Below are 18,406 nucleotides of genomic sequence, written 5' to 3' on the forward strand. Positions count from 1 at the left end.
CAGCTTAATATCTTGATAACATGGATTTCAGTCTTTCGTCTCTGCGCTGTTTGGTTTCATAATTGGGATCACACTATACATGCAACTTTGTGTGCTGCCCTCTTTATTTACCTGCTCTATATTTTCAGCATTTCCCATGCCATGATAGTCCTTGGAAACATAATTCTAACAGTTGGCTAATGTTCTGTCACTGGATGTACTGTAAAGTATTTAACAGTTCTTCTAAGTTTGTACATTGTAAATGGATACTTCCGTTAAAAAAAATTTTATGTATATATTTACATAGTGGGCATTGTGTTCTTTATGGCTTCTTATGAGGGTGGCAATCCCTTCCCTCTTCCTTTTGATCCTTTGAGGCAACCACTTTTTAGCCGATGATTATGAATCATGTCTTTTAATAACATGCTTATATTGCTGTATCTGAAAGCTTCAGTTTTAGATACTATTGGCATCCTCTACGGAAGGTAAGCATTTAGCTCTTTAACTGCCCCACCCCCACCCCCCCAGCCTTCAACACCCACACACTCTTCCCATCCTGCTTTCTCCCCAGTTCAGCTGTCTAGTAACTTTGATGCAACCAGCATTCAGCATTTACATCATCATGTGCATGCATCTTAGTCAGCTTGGGCTGCTATGATAAAATACGACGGACAGAGTGGCTTATTACTCATGGTTCTGGAGTCTAGAAGTCTGAGATCAAGGTGCTGGCCGATTCAGTTCCCGGTGAGGCTTGCAGATGGCTGTCTTCTTGCTGTGTCTTCACGTGGTGGCGAGAGGGAGCTCTGGGGTCTCTTCTCTAATGACCTCATCCAAACCTAATCACCTCCCAAAGACCCCACCTCCTAATACCATCACACTGGAGGTGAGTGCTTCAACATATGAATTTGCAGGGAGATACAAACATTTACCATGTAAATTCTATTCACTGCTAAGACACATGATATATTGTGATGGCATTTCTCTTCTTGCCCATCTTTTTGTTTCCATAGAGTTAAAAATTGCTCAGGATTCCAAGGAATCTATGGAGGAGGCTCAGCAGCAGCTGGATGGCAGAGGCCCGGCTGCTACAGGTGAGCCTACAGGTTGCTGACGATGTGTGTGAGCTGCAACCACTCCTGGTTCCCTGCACCCACCTTTCCACTGTACATGGCTGCTGCTTCACCTTCACCTTCTCAGTCTCATGCAAGGTGTCTCTTTGGCCAAGGCTAGTCTGGAACCATTAAGGGAGGAAGTTCTGGGGGACTAGTCATACTCTGTACCCAGTGCACTGTGTCATCTTAGGGTCACCTTTCATCACTCAGATGAGTTCTTTTGCCTTTTTTCTTTTGCGTTAGATCCCATTTTCTGGGAAGCCCATGTTTTCCTTTTTATTAGCTTATATTCTTGTTTCTGTTGAGCACATCTTCAGGAACAATTACAGAACAACTGGAATTCATAGGCTGTGAATGTTTTGAGGTCTTGAATGTCTGAAAATGTCTCCATTCCATACCCTTCTTTATTCATAGTTTGGATGGGCATAAAATTCTAGGTTAGCGATCATGTTCTTTAAGATTTCTAGCCTTCAGTGTTGCCATTGGGAAGTGCCAAGCCATCCTGATTCCTGGTCTTTGTATGTAATCTGTTTTCTGTTTGTTCTTTTCTCCATAAGCTAATAGGGTCTTTGTTCTCAAATTTCTGAAATTTTATGATGATGTAGCACAGTGTGGTTCAACTTTCACCCATTGTGTTGGGCGCTCAGTGGGCCCAAATTTTATTGACGAGATACCCACCTTCATTTGCTGCGTCCTCTCTCTATGGAACTGCTGTTATGAGGATATTGGAGCTCTGGAGCTGGATCTTCTCATTTTTTCCTCTGCTATTTTCTGTTTTTGTTTGTTAGTCTTTTTCCCTCCTCTACTTTCTGGGAAACTTCCTCACTCACCTTTACTTGAATTCAAAACCCATCTATTGAATCTTTAATTTCTGCTGTAATTTCTTAATTTCCCAAAGCTCTTTTAATTCTCTAGTCATTCCTTGAAAATAGTGAGTGTGCATGTATATGTGTGTGCGTGTATGTGTGCATGTGTGTGTGCCATGTGTATGTGCATATGTGTGTGTGTGTGTGATTTTACTCTTTTCTTTTAGATGCAACATCTTCCCGTACCTTTCTGAGGACACTAATGCCAGTGTGATTGCAAGTCACTTTCTTCTGTTTTTCGATTCGTCTGTTTTTGTTTCTGTGTTTCACATTTGAATGTTTACCCAGATATTGGGTTATCTCCCATCATCTTCTCATATTTAAGAGCGGAAGATTAAAAATCTCTTTGGCAGCTCTGAGGTTTGCTGACTTCAAGCTCTATTTTAGGGTGACACAGCAGAGCCACATCTTTGGGAACTCACATCATTGGTGTCCTCAGGATTTTCCTCTTGGGCTGGACAGTTTGCTCCCCTGGAGGGTATGAGCCTGACTGCTAGTGGGCCAAGAGCTGCCTGGGAGGAAAGGGTGGGGGGTCTCCACACTTGGGGTGCCAACATTCCTACCGCCCCTGATTCCCAGCGGTGGCTCTGTCTTCAGGCGTACCTGGCATCCTTCGGTCTTGAGAGCCCCCACAGAATCTACCTTGAATCTCCTCCCACGCTCCTTTTCCCCCCAGCCCTGGGATTGCAAAGCAGAAGGAACGGCGGAGAGGGTCAGGGACTCTTGCTTCTTCAGTGGCCCCTCCGGCACTTCACAGAATGACAATGAAGCCCAAGCTTCTGCTTTTAGCCCCTCCTCCACCCTGCTTTCTCCTCTTTTCCTTAGAAAAAAAAATTTTTAAACTTCATTCGGCCAGGCGCGGTGGCTCACGCCTGTAATCCCAGCACTTTGGGAGGCCGAGGCGGGTGGATCACGAGGTCAGGAGATCGAGACCATCCTGGCCAACACGGTGAAACCCCATCTCTACTAAAGATACAAAAAATTAGCCGGGCGTGTTGGCGGGAGCCTGTAATCCCAGCTACTCGGGAGGCTGAGGCAGGAGAATGGCGTGGACCTGGGAGGCGGAGCTTGCAGTGAGCAGAGACCAGGCCACTGCACTCCAGCCTGGGCGACAGAGCGAGACTCCATCTCAGAAAACAACAACAACAAAAAAAACTTCATTCAGAGAGAGGAACTTTGTATATTCCGGAGGAAAAGTGGCTACAACCTGCCAGGACTCTTTAAAGGGCCGAGTAGGGCGAAACTCCATGCTCACCACAGGTGAGTTTAACACCTAACACCTTATTTAAGATTTTGCAGAATTCCAGCCAAGGAGCCTGTAATTGACAACACTGGCTCAGCCCAGTGGCTGCTTCACATGGTTTCTCTACTTCTAATGACATCAATTTCTCTCATGCCAGTAGTGCCTTCCTTTGGCGAGCAACTATGCAATAAGGACATCCGCTTCCTTCGGCGCTTGATATCAGCCAGGGGATTAACCTGTGCAGAGGTGACTTGTTAGTCATCAGTTACTGCCTCACCAAAGTGAGGTCAAGTTCACAGCAGGTTTTTGCAAAGCTACGTTTTTATTGTCAGCATAGGAAGCATTTTCTTACACATGCAATGGATGGTTCACTTTAGAGGCACATCTGACCACTATGAGAGTTTGTGGGAGGCATCAGTGCACTTGGGTTACAGACAACTGAATAAAGTACAAATACATCATTAGAAAAGCAGAGGGTGTGTGCTCCGGTGACGTTGCAATAAAGCAATTCTTTGGCATACACATGGTATATGTTTATATTGCAAAGTGCAAGGCAATCTCTTTCCAATCTTTTTTTTTTTTTTGAGATGGAGTCTCACTCTGGGGTGCAGTGGGGTGATCTCGGCTCACTGGAACCTCTGCCTCCTGGGCTCAAGCAATTCTCCTGCCTCAACCTCCTGAGTAGCTGTGATTATAGGCACGCGCCACCACCCCTGGCTAATTTTTGTATTTTTAGTAGAGACGGGATTTCACCATGTTAGCCAGCTGGTCTGGAACTCTTGACCTCGTGATCTGCCCACCTCAGCCTCCCAAAGTGCTGGGATTACAGGCATGAACCACCACACCCGGCCCTTTCCAATCATTCTTAATGGCTTATGCCTATCACCATTTCTGGCTTGTTACTAAAGTTGGAGTTTTGAAAGTAAATTACAGTTATTTTGCTCCTCATTCTTGAGCGACAATGGAGACATTCCAGTTCTGAGCTTGCTGGATAGTGCAACAAGCCAGCTGGAGGTTGAATATCTTAAGGACAAAATTTGATATGCATTGTTTACCAACCAGCAAGCCTTTCAGCTCTACAATAAATTGATTTTTTAGTAAGCCATTGAAATCCATCAGATTATCTCCTGCTAGATAATAATGGTCTCCCCCATGTGAAGAGACAGGCTTTCTTTCAGCAGGGCTGCCCAACAGCCATTACTTTAGGAAAATGGAGTTGAGAGACACAAGGATCCTGGATAGGGATGAGGCGAGACACCCACGCTGTGGTGAAGACCAGGTGGCCAAAACCCAATTTGAAAACCCTGATGTGGATGTGTCCTGGGCCTGTTCTCTTGGAGCAGGACCTCCCTGTAGTTTGCATTCTTCTTCTCTCAGCTTGAACCTCTTTCCTCAGCACCTGTGGTTCATATCTGTTGAGCAAGGGGGAAGACATTTGTTGTCTGGGTGATGTTCAAAAACACAACTGTGTTCTTGAGCCAGTTTCTATGTTAAGTACAACCAAGGTCTCACTGGTGACCTTGAACAAAACAGAAGTAACCTTTGTTCTTCTGGCCAGTTCCAAGTCCTCGGAACCTACAGTCACAAGCCACACATTTCTGACCAGGTTTTCCCATGCCTGGAGCCTGTGTGGGCCTTCCCCAGTTCACTGGCAGAGACCTTGCTGTGGTGTTGCAGGATGCACGTGTGAGAGGCGTGCAGGGCGCAGAGCCAGACACGGCTCTAGATCCCAGCCCCAGCATGAGTGTGGTGCAGGCAAGTGACTTAATGTCTTTCCTCCTCATTCTCCTCATCTACAAATAAAGATAGTAATAGGCTGGGCGCGGTGGCTCACGCCTGTAATCCCAGCACTTTGGGAGGCCCAGGTGGGCGGATCACGAGGTCAGGAGATCGAGACCATCCTGGCCAATATGGTGAAACCCTATCTCTACTAAAAATACAAAAATTAGCCAGGCGTGGTGGCACATGCCTGTAATCCCAGCTACTCGGGAGGCTGAGGCAGGAGAATTGCTTGAGCTAGGAAGTCAGAAGTTGCAGTAAGCCGAGATCACGCCACTGCACTCCAGCCTGGCGACAGAGCGAGACTCCATCTCAAAAAAAAAAAAAAAAAAAAAAAAAAAAAAAAAAAAAAAAAGATAGTAATAGAACTCAGAGAGTTGTGGTGGGAACAAATGTGTTAATACAGTTGACCCTTGAACAACCTGGGTTTGAACTACTGGGTCCACTAACAAGTGGATTTTCTTCCTTCTCTGCGACCCAAGACAGAGACAGCAAGACCAACCCCTCATCCTCTTCCTCCTCAGCCCACTCAATGTGAAGATGTTGAGGATGAAGTCCTTTGTGATGATCCACTTCCCCTTAATGAATTGTAATTATATTTTCTCTCCCTTATGCTTTTCTCAGTAACATGTTCTTTTCTCTAGCTTGCTTTATTGTAAATACAGTATATAGGCCGGGCACAGTGGCTCATGCCTGTATTCCCAGCACTTTGGGAGGCCGAGGTGGGTGGACAATTTGAGGCCAGGAGTTCGAGACCAGCCTGGCCAACTTGGTGAAACCCTGCCTTTACTAAAAATACAAAAATTAGCTGGGCATGATGGGGAGTGCCTGCAGTCCCAGCTACTTGGGAGGCTGAGGCAGGAGAATCGCTTAAACTCAGGAGGTGGAGGTTGCAGTGAGCCGAGATCATGTCACTGTACTCCAGCTTGGGCGACAGAGCAAGACTCTGTCTCAAAAAAATAAATAAATAAAATAAAAAAATAAAGAATACGGTATATAATACATATAACATATAAAATATGTGCTAATCAACTGTTTATGTTATCCGTAAGGCTTCTGGTCAACAGCAGCTTATCAGTCGTTAAGTTTTTGAGGAGTTGAAAGTTAGACACGGGTTTTCAGCTGTACAGGGGTCGGTGCCCCCACTTCATGCTGTTCAAGGGTCAGTGGATATATGAAGTGTGTATAGCACACATGGGGCATCTTAAACTGCATTAGCATTCGTATGCCTGTTATTTTCTTCACAGTTGTGGTAGGTGGTGTTATTGGTTTTTTTGTTTGTTTTGTTTTGTTTTGAGACGGAGTTTCGCTCTGTCGCCCAGGCTGGACTGCAGTGGCGTGATCTTGGCTTACTGCAAGCTCCGCCTCCCGGGTTCACGCCATTCTCCTGCCTCAGCCTCCCAAGTAACTGGGACTACAGGCGCCGGCCACCACGCCCGGCTAATTTTTTTTTTTTTGTATTTTTAGTAGAGACAGGGTTTCACCGTGTTCACCAGGATGGCCTCGATCTCCTGACCTCACGTCTGCCTGCCTCGGCCTCCCAAAGTGCTGGGATTACAGGCGTGAGCCACCGCGCCGGGTGGATAGGTGGTATTATTGTTACCAACCTTCCCCCTTTCCTTCCCATGAGACTTTGAAGTTCTTCCACCAGAGGCAGAATGTGCTTCCTCACCATTTGATTTGAGGTTTGACCATGTGACTTGCTTTGGCCAGTCGTGTGTGTTTAAAGGACACATGCCAGTCCTGATCCTAGGCGTCCCGAGGTTAGCATGTTTCCACATGTGCTCGTGAGCTTCAAACCTCATCCACGAGAGCAAGCCCGGGACCTGGCTGCAGGGAGCAGGAGAGACATTGAGGCAGGGAGGCAGGATTGGCCCTACCTGCTGCCCAGAGCCAAGCCCTGCTGGCCAGTGGGCTCCCAGCCAGGCGACGCCCAGGCAGGCACATGCATGTGAGTGAGAATAAATGATTATGTGAAGCAGTGAGTTTGGGGTGGCGTTTTATTTGGCGTAATTGTGGCAGTCGCTGGCAGATACAACAGGAGAGTTAATGGGGTGGAAGTTCATGAACTGCTATGGAGGGACGCAGGAGGGGAAAGAACGGGATACAATTCCCACTGCCCCCTATGGAAACTCGGGTGTGAAAGGGTAGGATGACTAGTCTGAGGTCTGTGATTTGGAGACAGGAAGCTGACTTCAGAAGGTTTGCTCCCTGCCTCCCATGCAAAGCATGGCACCAGGGAATATATAGTTGTTCTGAATGTGCTGAGCATAGTTTCCTCAATGTTTTTCTATCTTGACTTATTCTCCCATCATTTCTCTTAGCAGCACAGAGAGGGCTCTCTCCCTTCAGTCACACCCGGTAGAAACCTTTGCCATTCTCTGCGTGCCAAAGGCTCATGCCACAAACAACTGGTCAGAGTTCAGATCCTGGAAGTGGTGTGTTTCTTTGTGCATGCCATGAATATGTCACAACTTTTCCAAAGCTCTGGGGGCAGCTGAATGATTGAAACTCTTTGATACGATCCTGAGGCCCTCTGGAGTCATGGGCTTGGCGCCTGGGCAGCCCCTGTCCCTGCTGTCCATCAGCTTCTGAATGAGAGAGAGAGCGAGCAAGTGGTGGAAGCAACAAGAGACCTTGGGAATCACAGGATGGCGTGGGGTCGCTCCTGCTCTTGGCTGGCCTGGCCTCATCCACTTCCAGCCTCTTTCCTCAGCAGCTCCTGGGCAGACCTCAAGAAAGCCTTGTTTGAAATGCAGGAAGACCTCAGAAGTGTTTCCTTGCCAAGTTTGGTTGAAGCTATTTTTTTAAATTGCTCTTTTTTTCCAATCTCTTTTTTGTAACAATTTATTTATTTTGATGGGCAGAGCTCATGTATGAGGTCAGTGGATATTTTAGCATATTGTTGTATCACCTGTGAGGATATGAGACCCTTGGAATCTTAATAACAGCATATTAATGATGCATTCAGTCTCTGGGTACCCACACCTGCACTAATCAGTTCTTAGGAGCAGAGACCATGTAGGCTGGAAGGGGTGAAGACACCTTCTAAATCCCCCGTTGTTAGGCTGAGCACGGCAATCCTCACTGTTATGTATCCTACTGTCTTTGCCTTTGAAATAATGCACTGGTATTTTACCTGAGATGGTGGAAATGGTGGTGGAGATGGAGAGAATTCTAGTTAAATGACAGATGCAGGCTTGACTTTGCAGTCTCACAGATGTTTCATTAATTGGCAGTAATGATGCCTGCTCAGAAAAGGGAGTTTGCACCAGGAAGCATTTTCTTAAAATCAGACCATTACCTCAGAATTAGAATGAACAAAGACAGAGTCGGGCAGGTTAGGCCATCCTATCCATGACGACTTCAGTGAAATGGAGCCACATGTAAGCCCATTGTGGGGGTTTCTATGACGGACATGATAAGGAGAAGGTAACTTTCACTGGCAAACAGACCCAGCACTTAAGATCCTCAAAGCAGGATGGAGGAAGCAGGAGCAAAGCTGTCTGCAGAATCACAAAGGTGAGGTCTCATTGCCTTGTCTGGTAGGCTGTCAGCCGCTGTCTGCTAGCCAGGCGCCAGCGTGCACTGTGGCCCCCAATCTACACCCTACCCTGCAGCCAGGGGGTCTTTTCCCAATACAAATAAGATCCTGTTATCCTTCTGTCCCCCACCATCCTCCTGATTAAACCCCTTCAGAGGCTCCCCGTTGCCTGTACCAAAGTCTTCCCTCTGCATGTAACATGCAGTGTGCGCTGACCCCTGCTCTCCACTCCCCTTCACTCTGCATGCTTCTCCTAACCTCCTGTTGAGCCATAGGCTCTAGCTATGCTCCCACGGCCACAGGCCCTTAGCACGTCCTTTCCCTGTGTCTGGATTACACATCTCCATCCCCTTTCCACTGGCACTCTAACTTATCCTTCAGGCACTGGCTCAGTTCTGATGTTACTTAGAGGAGCCACTCAGACCCTCAGGCCAGGTTCCCTGCTGAGAGCACGTACAGCAACACTTGTCCTACATGAATTACACATTTGCTGGTTGGATTACATTTCTTTCCCAGTAAAGTTCTATGAGGAGAGTAAGTGTTTGCTCACCACTGATCGTGTCCCTAGCACCAGGACAGTGGTGACACGTAGCATGCCCTCAGTAAACATCTGCAGAATAAATGGAAAAGGGAGTATAGCCAAAAATGCATTTAGGACGTGTGATTGTAGTCACAGAGGCGCCTGTTCTAGATCAGATCAGATCAGTCACTAGTTATGGCAGGAGAGTGTTTAGTGTGATGGTTTGTAGCCACAGAGGAGGCCCGGGTTCAAATGCCGTCTCGGTAATGCTGTGGCTGCACGCCCTTCGGCAAACTGCACAACCGACCCGTGCCTCAGTTTCCCCATTTGAAAATGGGAACAGTACTGCCTGAATCAGGCTTGGTTTGCATTAGATACCCACATCAGATGCTCAGCCCAGTGCTCCTCTGTGTGTGGTGCTGGTGCTGTTGTTGTGTGTGTCGGGTGTGGTGTGCTGAGCTCCAGGGACTCACCAAGTTTTGAATGAAATAGATCAACTTTGTTGTTACAGAGCAAAGAGGTGTGGGGAGTTGTTTTTGCCCAGAGCCTATGTCTAGACCCTTGAGATGAGTAAAGTGCCACTGAACATTCTGACATTGCTGGTCTTAGGAAGGTGATAAGTAGGGCTGCACCATCATCCCACAGTCTATGGGGTGGCTTCTCCAGGATGCCTGACACTGCCAGTGCCTCCTTCTCCAAGGGAAGAACACCCGACATGGGTGATCTTAAGCGACCGCTTAAGATTGGTTTAGTTCAGTTTGGAGAGCAATTTGATGTGCTGGTTTGATTTTTGGCTCGCTGATTTTTGCCAATATGTAATTCCTACTCAGTTCATACTGACTTATAAAGAAAACCTATCATTCTGTCCATCTGTCTATCCATCCATCTTCCTAACTATCTGGAAAATAAATGAAATGCCTTTGGCTTCTCCTGTCCACAGTACAATGAAAGGATTTGCCCACTCTGGGGTCCGGGGATTTGTTACTGAGTTTTGGCTCCTGTTTCAAGGGGTTTTCTATAATGGAGATAGTTCTGAAATCACCTAAATCAGCACAGCCAGTGTCTGCATTCCCAGGAACAGAGCTCTCCGTGAGCAGAGTTACAGAGCCCAGGGAAAACAGGGTGAAAAAGTGGGGGTGAAGTTTCGGGGCAGTGTGTTGAAGGGAACAACTCTGTTTGAACAGGTAACCATCTGAGACATGTCTTGCACTATTTTTCTTCTGATTGTTCGCTGTCTTTTATAACACCACTGTTAATACTGGAATGAGTGTTCTAATGGGAGGCATGACATGTTAGAAAGATGTGGAAACATATAAAACACCATTTGCAAAAATAACAGAGAAGCCCAGGAGCAGCGCACACAGGCAAAGTAAACAGCAGAGACAGTTTCCAGCTCTGTTAAAAGACTGGCCATTAAAGGGAGCTCAAAGACAAGCCACCACAGGCACCTTATGATAACCCTTCTCCCCGGTTTACAAAACAGAGATCAAACGAGGGAGGTCATGGTTAGAATTACGTATAACAGCCTCTCCATTCGGGTTCCAGTAGAGGAAGTCAAGTGATAGCTAAAGGGATTAGAGCTATTTTTAGTGAAAGCAAAGAAGAAAACCCTTTGGAGTTGCAGATTCCAACGTGAACAATGGTTACTTGGCAGGCGACCTCTGCCCCAGATGGAAGAGAGAGAATACCACAAGCTGACAACTTTATTGGATCCAGATGGGAAGAAGAAACCCCACAATGATATTAACAATAATCTAACAATGAGGACTTGGTAGATGGAGGTGTGACAACACCAGGAGGTCAGGGAGCCTGCCTGAGTGCAGGTCAAAGGCATGTGATTTTCCATGAGGTGACTGTGGTTTATAATAGCGACATCAGGGCGCATTTTTAGTTTTACCAGTCAAGGTATTAGTCCAAAAGCCATAGCCAGTATAGCTTTGTGAAAAGCTATAGCATTTTGCAAAGGGGTAGCTTGGACATTCCCAAGGGCAGATTGTTTGTGGGGGGCACAAATTTCTGGTGGCAGAAATGCTCAGACCAAGGCTGAAAGACCACCATGACCCATCACAGGCAAGGAATCCAGGCAGGGCAGGCACACCCAGGCGACTCCCCAGCTTCAGGAGGGTGCCTGGGGTGCCAAATGGGCCACGGGGCTGCCTCTGAAGCAGAAACTCTTTCAAACTCATTTTCCAGCAAAAGGGGCAGAACTGGGGGTCGGTGGGAATGCTTCTTGGGCTGGAGCTGTGCAGAGGCTGAGAGTTCCTGGGGGACAGAATAAGGCAGCTGCCTGGGCTGTGGCACATTGGTTAGTGCTCACCAAGTGATAAGCAACACCGATCAGCATGGGGTCTGTGTGAAAAGTGCTGGCAAAGCCATCGGGCGCGGTGGCTCACGCCTGTAATCCCAGCACTTTGGGAGGCTGAGGCGGGTGGATCACGAGGTCAGGAGATCGAGACCATCCTGGCTGACACGGTGAAACCCCATCTCTTCTAAACATACAAAAAAGTAGCCGGGCGTGGTGGTGGGCGCCTGTAGTCCCAGCTACTCGGGAGGCTGAGGCAGGAGAATGGCGTGAACCCGGGAGGCGGAGCTTTCAGTGAGCCGAGATGGCGCCACTGCCCTCCAGCCTGGGCGACAGAGAGAGACTCCGTCTCAGAAAAAAAAAAAAAAAAAGTGCTGACAAAGAGGGACTTTCCCTCAGAATGAGTTCTGACATGCGATAGTTCTCCTCCAGACCTGAGGGGTCTGGGGAGAAGACGGCTGGCAGGTATGGGCATCGACAGACGTTGGAAGCGAGGTAAAGAGAGCAGAGGAAAGGACACTGGCCTCGCAGGCAGTGTGTGTCCATTACCAGGTCCCCAGGGCCACAGGGTGTGGAGGGAGCTGTGAACTCACCTGGGCATCCCCCGAGGTCCTTAAAAAGAAGACAGCAGAAGCAGACAAATAGCGGTTAAGAAATCCGAACAAAATCGCTTTCAGGATTGTCTTTCCTGAGAAGAGAATCTGTGAGGCACGATTTTTCACCTTCCACCAGGGATTGAGAAGTGCCCTGCGGGGTTGAGAGCAACCCGGGAGCCAAGCAGGAGTGGAACTTTTAGATGGGCCTTGGCATGTGGCTTACACAAGAGGCCCTTTGGCCTGCACAGAGTTTACACAATTCGAAGGCTTTCTGGAAAACGTGCCTCAGAGCCGTGTGCCCCAGCTTGCTTGTTATATCTGGCAGGCACCGGCTGCTGTGGGTTCCGCACCTAGGGTGCGCCACACCGTCCCCTACTGCCCTTTAGCCTGTATCCAGGGGCAGTGGCTGGAACTCAGGCAGAGGAGCAGAGGCCCAGGCATGCGAAGTGGGGTGCCTGCAGTTAGGGGTTGGGCTGGGAACGCCAATACTAAACGCCTCAATAACCAGCAACTGTGGTTCCCCCGCCCCACTCACTCATGTGCCGCTGCCACAGCACTCCATCTACCTTCCCCAGGGGGAGCAGTGTTACTGTCCTCAGGCATCGTGGCAATTATGTGGACAGCGTCGCTCATTTGTCCAGTGTTCTTGGGGATCCAGGTGCTCAGAAAGGTGGATTTTCCAGATGGTGGACAGTTCCCTTTTGCAGTGTAAAATCTTTAAAAATTACTGTTTTTCAGAAAGTCAAACACTGCATTTCTCAATTGTAAGTGGGAGTTAAACAATGTGTACACATGGACATGGAGAGTGGAATAATAGACACTGGAGACTCCAAAAGGTGGGAGGGGGAGAGGGAAGAGGGATGAGAAATTACCTAAAGGGTATCACACATGCTATTCGGGTGATGGTCACACTAAAAGCCTAGCCTTCGTCACTACACAATAGATCCAGGTAACAAAACTGCACTTGTACCCACTAAATCTATTTTTTAAAAAAGAATTATTGGCTGGGCGTGGTGGCTCACGCATGTAATCCCAGCACTTTGGGAGGCCGAGGTGGGTGGATCACCTGAGGTCAGGAGTTTGAGACCAGCCTGACCAATATGGTGAAACTCAGTCTCTACTAAAAATACAAAAATTACCCGGGCGTGGTGGTGAGTGCCTGTAATCCCAGCTACTCAGCAGGCTGAGGCAGGAGAATCACTTGAACCTGGGAGGTGGAGGTTGCAGTGAGCCGAGATCATGCCACTGCACTCCAGCCTGGGTGACAGAGCGAGACTCCATCTCAAAAAAAAAGAAAAAAAGAATTATCCTAGGATTAAGATAATCACTGTTTTGATGAAACCTTGATAATATGTACAGAATGCTTCTGCGCTCTTAAGCAAAACATACATAGCATGGGTCACCTAGTGATGACTGAGCACTGTCATCATGAATGCCTGCAACAGCGCAGGCTGCGTTAACAGAGGTGCCCTGTGGACGCACAGGACATACAGAACTACTGTCTCCTGCAGTAAAGGATCCCAAACTTCAGTGCCCAAAATACAAATATGACCTAGGAAACAGAAGAATTAGGCAGTTTAAAAAATTGCTCTTTTTCTAATTACAACAGTAATATATGTTCATTGTAGAAAATTTGTATGCACAAAATAATAAAAGAAAAATTAAAATCACTGAGATGAGGTTTAAAATAGCTTTTTGCTGTCAGCCCTAACTGTCATGTTGTTGACGTCAGTAGGTACAACTGTTAAAAGTCAGCCTGGGCACAATGGCTCATACTTGCAATCCCAGAGCTTTGGGAGGCCTAGGTGGGAGGATCTCTTGAGGCTAGGAATTTGAGACCAGCCTGGACAACAAAGTGAGACCCTGTCTCTACAAAAACATCAAATAAAAATCTCTAGCTGGGTGCAGTGTGTATACCTATAGTCCTAGCTACTCAGGAGGCTGAGGCAGGAGAATTGCTTGAGCCCAGGAGTTTGGGGCTGCAGTGAGCCTTGTTTGCCCTATCGCTCTCCAGCTTGGGCAGCAAAGTTAGACCCTATCTCAAAACAAACAAACAAAAACAAACAAACAAAAAACTCTCTTAATTTCTACCTAACAGTCTCTTCTCTCCTTCAAGGTAATGTACCTGCATTTTGTGATCACTGCTTATATTTTTATTTATTTATTTATTTATTTTGAGACGGAGTTTCACTCTTGTTGCTCAGGCTGGAGTGCAATGGCATGATCTCGGCTCACCACAACCTCCACCTCCCGGGTTGAAGCGATTCTCCTGCCTCAGCCTCCTGAGGAGCTGGGATTACAGGCATGCACCACCACGCCCCGCTAATTTTGTATTTTTAGTAGAGACGGGGTTTCTCCATATTGGTCAGGCTGGTCTCGAACTCCCAATCTCAGGTGATAGGCCCGCCTCAGCCTCCCAACGTGCTGGGATTACAGGCGTGAGCCACCATGTCTGGCCCACCTGCTTTTATTTCTGGGTAAAATGGTGTTGTTGGTTTCAAGAAGATAAGCTAGATGTTATCATGAATGTACAAAAACTTCCTTTATACCCTTATTCTATAAAAAGACAAAATATCAATTCAAGTCTGTAAGAAGCTGGTGTAAGTTTGCAAAGAATTACCAGTCTCTTTGAATCTTTTCACGGCTACTGTCGAAAATCTCAAAACTTTGCAGGTAGATTCCTGAACAGAAGATGTTGGGGTTGAAACCACCTTTGCAAAAATTCTAACAGTGAGAAAATTACAGCAGTGAGGGGGTTCTGGTCTAGCCAACTCCCCTCTTGCCTTTAGCCTTCAAGCTTCACCTCTGAAGACTGATGCCTGAACCTGGAGGTGACGTGGCTGGAGACAGGCATGTCCACCAGCAAAGAGGCACCTCAGGGTGTCCACTTCATCCTATGTCCTTCCAGGTGATAGGTAGTGGGAGGCTTGGCCCGGCTGGTTAGGACTGTGGGCCCTAGTCTTGGACGTGTGCACCTGGGGACAAACCTTCACTGGAAGAGGGGAAGAAAATATTAGAACTTTAACTTCATTGTTTATCTAAATATTTTAAATTGATATTCTTTTTTAACTTATTTTATGATTGCAAAAACTATATATATAGCATATAATTGACCATATTAGCCACTGTTAAGTATAGAATTCATTGGGATTAATTACATTCACAATGCTGTGCAGCCATCACCACTCCTTCCAAAATATTTCATCACCCCAGATGGAACCTCTGCCCATTAAGCAGAGACTCCTTATGTCCCCTCTTCCCAGCTGCTGGTAACCGTTCCCTCTATGAATTGATCTCTATGTATTTGACCATTCTAGATAATTTATATACATAGAATCATACAATATTTGTGCTTTTGTGACTGGCTTGTTTCACTTGGGTTTTCAAGGCTTGCACATGTTGTATGTAGTGTGTATTAGAATTTCCTTCCTTTTTAAGGCTGAATAATATTCCATTGTGTGGACATACTGCACTTTGTTTAACTGTTAAACTGTTGATAGACTTTCAGTTGATTTTAGCTTTGTGAATAATGCTGCTCTAATCACTGGGGTATCTGTTTTGAGCATTTGTTTTCAGTTCCTTTGGGTATATATTAAGGAGTGGAGTTTCTATTCTTTTTATGTTTAAAAAGATCTGTTTTTGTGTTTATATATAATGGGTTAGCAGAGTAGTAAAGATATGATTTATAACTTGACGTACATATTTTGGGGAGCCAAAAATATTTTCTGGAAAAAGTCCATTATAAAAAACAAGGACATAGGGCGGGTGCGGTGGCTCACGCCTGTAATCCCAGCACTTTGGGAGGCTGAGGCTGGCAGATCACGAGGTCAGGAGATCAAGAGCATCCTGGCTAACACGGTGAAACCCCGTCTCTACTAAAAATTAGCCGGTTGTGGTGGTGGGCGCCTGTAGTCCCAGCTACTCGGGAGGCTGAGGCAGGAGAATGGCGTGAACCCGGGAGGCAGAGCTTGCAGTGAGCCGAGATCACGCCACTGCACTCTAGCCTGGGCAACAGAGCGAGACTCCGTCTCGAAAAAAAAAAAAAAAGAAAAAAAATTACATCAATAGGTTAGAGCTTCACATAGAGATTCTGGCAGCCACATGGTTAATTCCTAGATTTCTAGTTTTTCACAGAGATGGGGGACGACGTGTCCCATTTGGCCTGGGACAGTCCCAGCTGATGTCCTCATCCTGGTGTAATTGTTAGTAGTCCCCTTCATCCTCACCAAGGCCTGCCCTCCCTGGGGGAGCAGAAACGCTTGCAGTTCAGAGCAGGTGGGAAGAGACAGCAAGAGGAATTGGCTCAGCACCACCACAGAAAAGCAGCTCAGAAAGATCCAGTGCATGGAAGACAGCACATTTTATATTTAAAATTTTAATTTTGTTTATTCTAGAGAAAGGGTCTCACTCTGTCACCCAGGCTGGAGTGCAGTGGCATGATTGTAGGTCACCTGAGCTCCTGGGCTCAACAATCTTCCTGCTTCAGCCTCCAGAGTAGCTGGGACTATAGGCTCATACCACCATGCCTAGCTTTTTTTTTTTTTAAGAGATGGGGTCTTGCTATGTTGCTCAGGCTGGTCCTGAACTCCTAGGCTCAAGCGATCTTCCTGCTTCTGCCTCCCAAAGTGCTGGGACAATAGATAAGAGCCATCACACCTGGACAGCGCATTATTTTAATGGCCACCGTTTTTGCTTTTAGAAGAGTGTGTCTGAGGTATTGCCTGTCCCTTGGGCCCCTCTTCCCTCTGAAGCAAGGGGACCAAAGGCTGGCTATGCAGTCATGAGCTCCCAGCTCTAAGGTGAGGAAGCACCGTTAGTGTAGGATACACTGGATATGTCATGTATTCAAGTGGGGAAAGCAGCAGCCCAGACTGTGCCCCTCACATCCTGATTGCTCGGCACCCTCTAGGTGGGGAAAAAGCTCAAAATGATCTTTTAGAAACAGCTGCTCCTCTCAGTCTTATTTCCACACTTGCCAATTCAGAGCTGCCAAATACTTCTTAAAAATCATTAGAAGTGGCCGGGTGCAGTGGCTCACGCCTGTAATCCCAGCACTTTGGGAGGCCAAGGTGGTGGATCACGAGGTCACCATTCTGGCTAATGTGGTGAAACCCCGTCTCTACTAAAAATACAAAAAATTAGCCAGGCATGGTGGTGGGCGTCTCAAAAAATAAAAAAGAACCTCTGAAGACATTGGCCGGGTGTGGTGGCTCACACCTGTAATTGCAGCACTCTGGGAGGCCAAAGTGGGCAGATCACTTGAGGTCAGGATTTTAAAACCAGCTTGGTGCGTGGTGAAATCCCATCTCTACTAGAAATACAAAAATTAGTTGAGCGTGGTGGTTCGCACCTGTAATAGCAGCTACTTGGGAGGCTGAGGCAGGAGAATCACTAGAATCCTGGAGGCGGAGGTTGCAGTGAGCCAAGATTTGCACCACTGCACTCCAGCCTGGGCAACAGAGTGAGGCTCTGTCTCAAAAAAAAAAAAAAAAAAAAAACAAGGACCTCTGAAGACTTCTTGAAGGAGGGTGGGTCTCCTGGGGGACTAGCCTCATCTTGGAGGCATTGCAGAGGTCTCCTGGGCCCAGCCAGACCCCAGACATCTTGTTCCTTTGTGGAGTCTTCAAGGGAAGAGCTTTTGAAGCCATAAGGAAAGACTGGATTTTGAAGACAAAAGTAACTTTCCTCTTTTGAAGGCAGCATGGAGCCAAGGAAGCCTGTGGAGCCTGACATGAAGGCACAGGCTCTGAGCCTGGCATGTCCATCCACCCTCTGTTTATGATACCCTGGGCAGGGCCTAAGCCCTCCTGGGCCTCAGCTCCCCTCCTGTAAGTGGTGACAGACCTCACAGGGTTATTGGGCACTGACGTGGACAAAGTATCTGGAAGGAAGCAGTGCTGCGTAAGCGTCGTTATGACTATGGGGACTCAGCAGGACCTAGGCCAGGAGCAAGACCTAGAGTTGATGAGGGCCTGGGCTCCAGGAGTGGGCGGGGTGGGTGGGCGGCAGCTCTGCAGCCTGGCATGCTGGCCTCCCCGCCATGCGTCTTCCTTCTCCCTGCAGGCTCTGAGTCCCTGCCAGTCCCCTACTTCTGTCTCTCCCAGAGCTGCTACTCACAGATCCATCCTCAGAGGGAGCACTGGGCTCTGCCAGTTAATGCATGTGTCCTGCTGAGGCAGGGAAGAGCTCAAGGCTTTCCTGGTACTGTTTAAAAACATACTGGCAGGGTGAGGTGGCTCACGCCTGTAATTCCAGCACACTGGGGGGCCAAGACAGGCAGACATCTTGAGCCCAGGAGTTTGAGACCAACCTGGGCAACATGGTGAAACCCTGTCTCTACAAAAAATGCAAAAAATTACCTGGGCCAGGTGACATACACCTGTAGTCTCCACTACTCAGGAGGCTGAGGTGGGTGGATCACCTGAACCCAGGACGTTGAGGCTGCAGTGAGCCATGATCATGCCA

General features: G+C 47.4%; 1 protein-coding gene across 1 annotated transcript in view, besides 1 other annotated feature; it reads left to right on the forward strand.

Annotated features, from left to right (window-relative positions):
* RANBP2 (RAN binding protein 2) overlaps positions 1–18,406 on the forward strand; it is a 1,122,820-nt gene that overhangs the window by 290,344 nt on the left and 814,070 nt on the right. The gene's annotated exons all lie outside the window — the stretch shown is intronic.
* Positions 10,340–11,055: an enhancer, noted in NCBI's record as "NANOG-H3K4me1 hESC enhancer chr2:109636621-109637336 (GRCh37/hg19 assembly coordinates)". NCBI's record gives its function as "activates a minimal SCP1, AML or CMV promoter by ChIP-STARR-seq in primed H9 embryonic stem cells {active_cell/tissue: H9 hESC(primed)}" and the evidence as "EXISTENCE:reporter gene assay evidence [ECO:0000049][PMID:30033119]".

This window comes from Homo sapiens, chromosome 2 (assembly GCF_000001405.40).
Source record: "Homo sapiens chromosome 2, GRCh38.p14 Primary Assembly".
Classification (NCBI taxonomy): domain Eukaryota; kingdom Metazoa; phylum Chordata; class Mammalia; order Primates; family Hominidae; genus Homo; species Homo sapiens.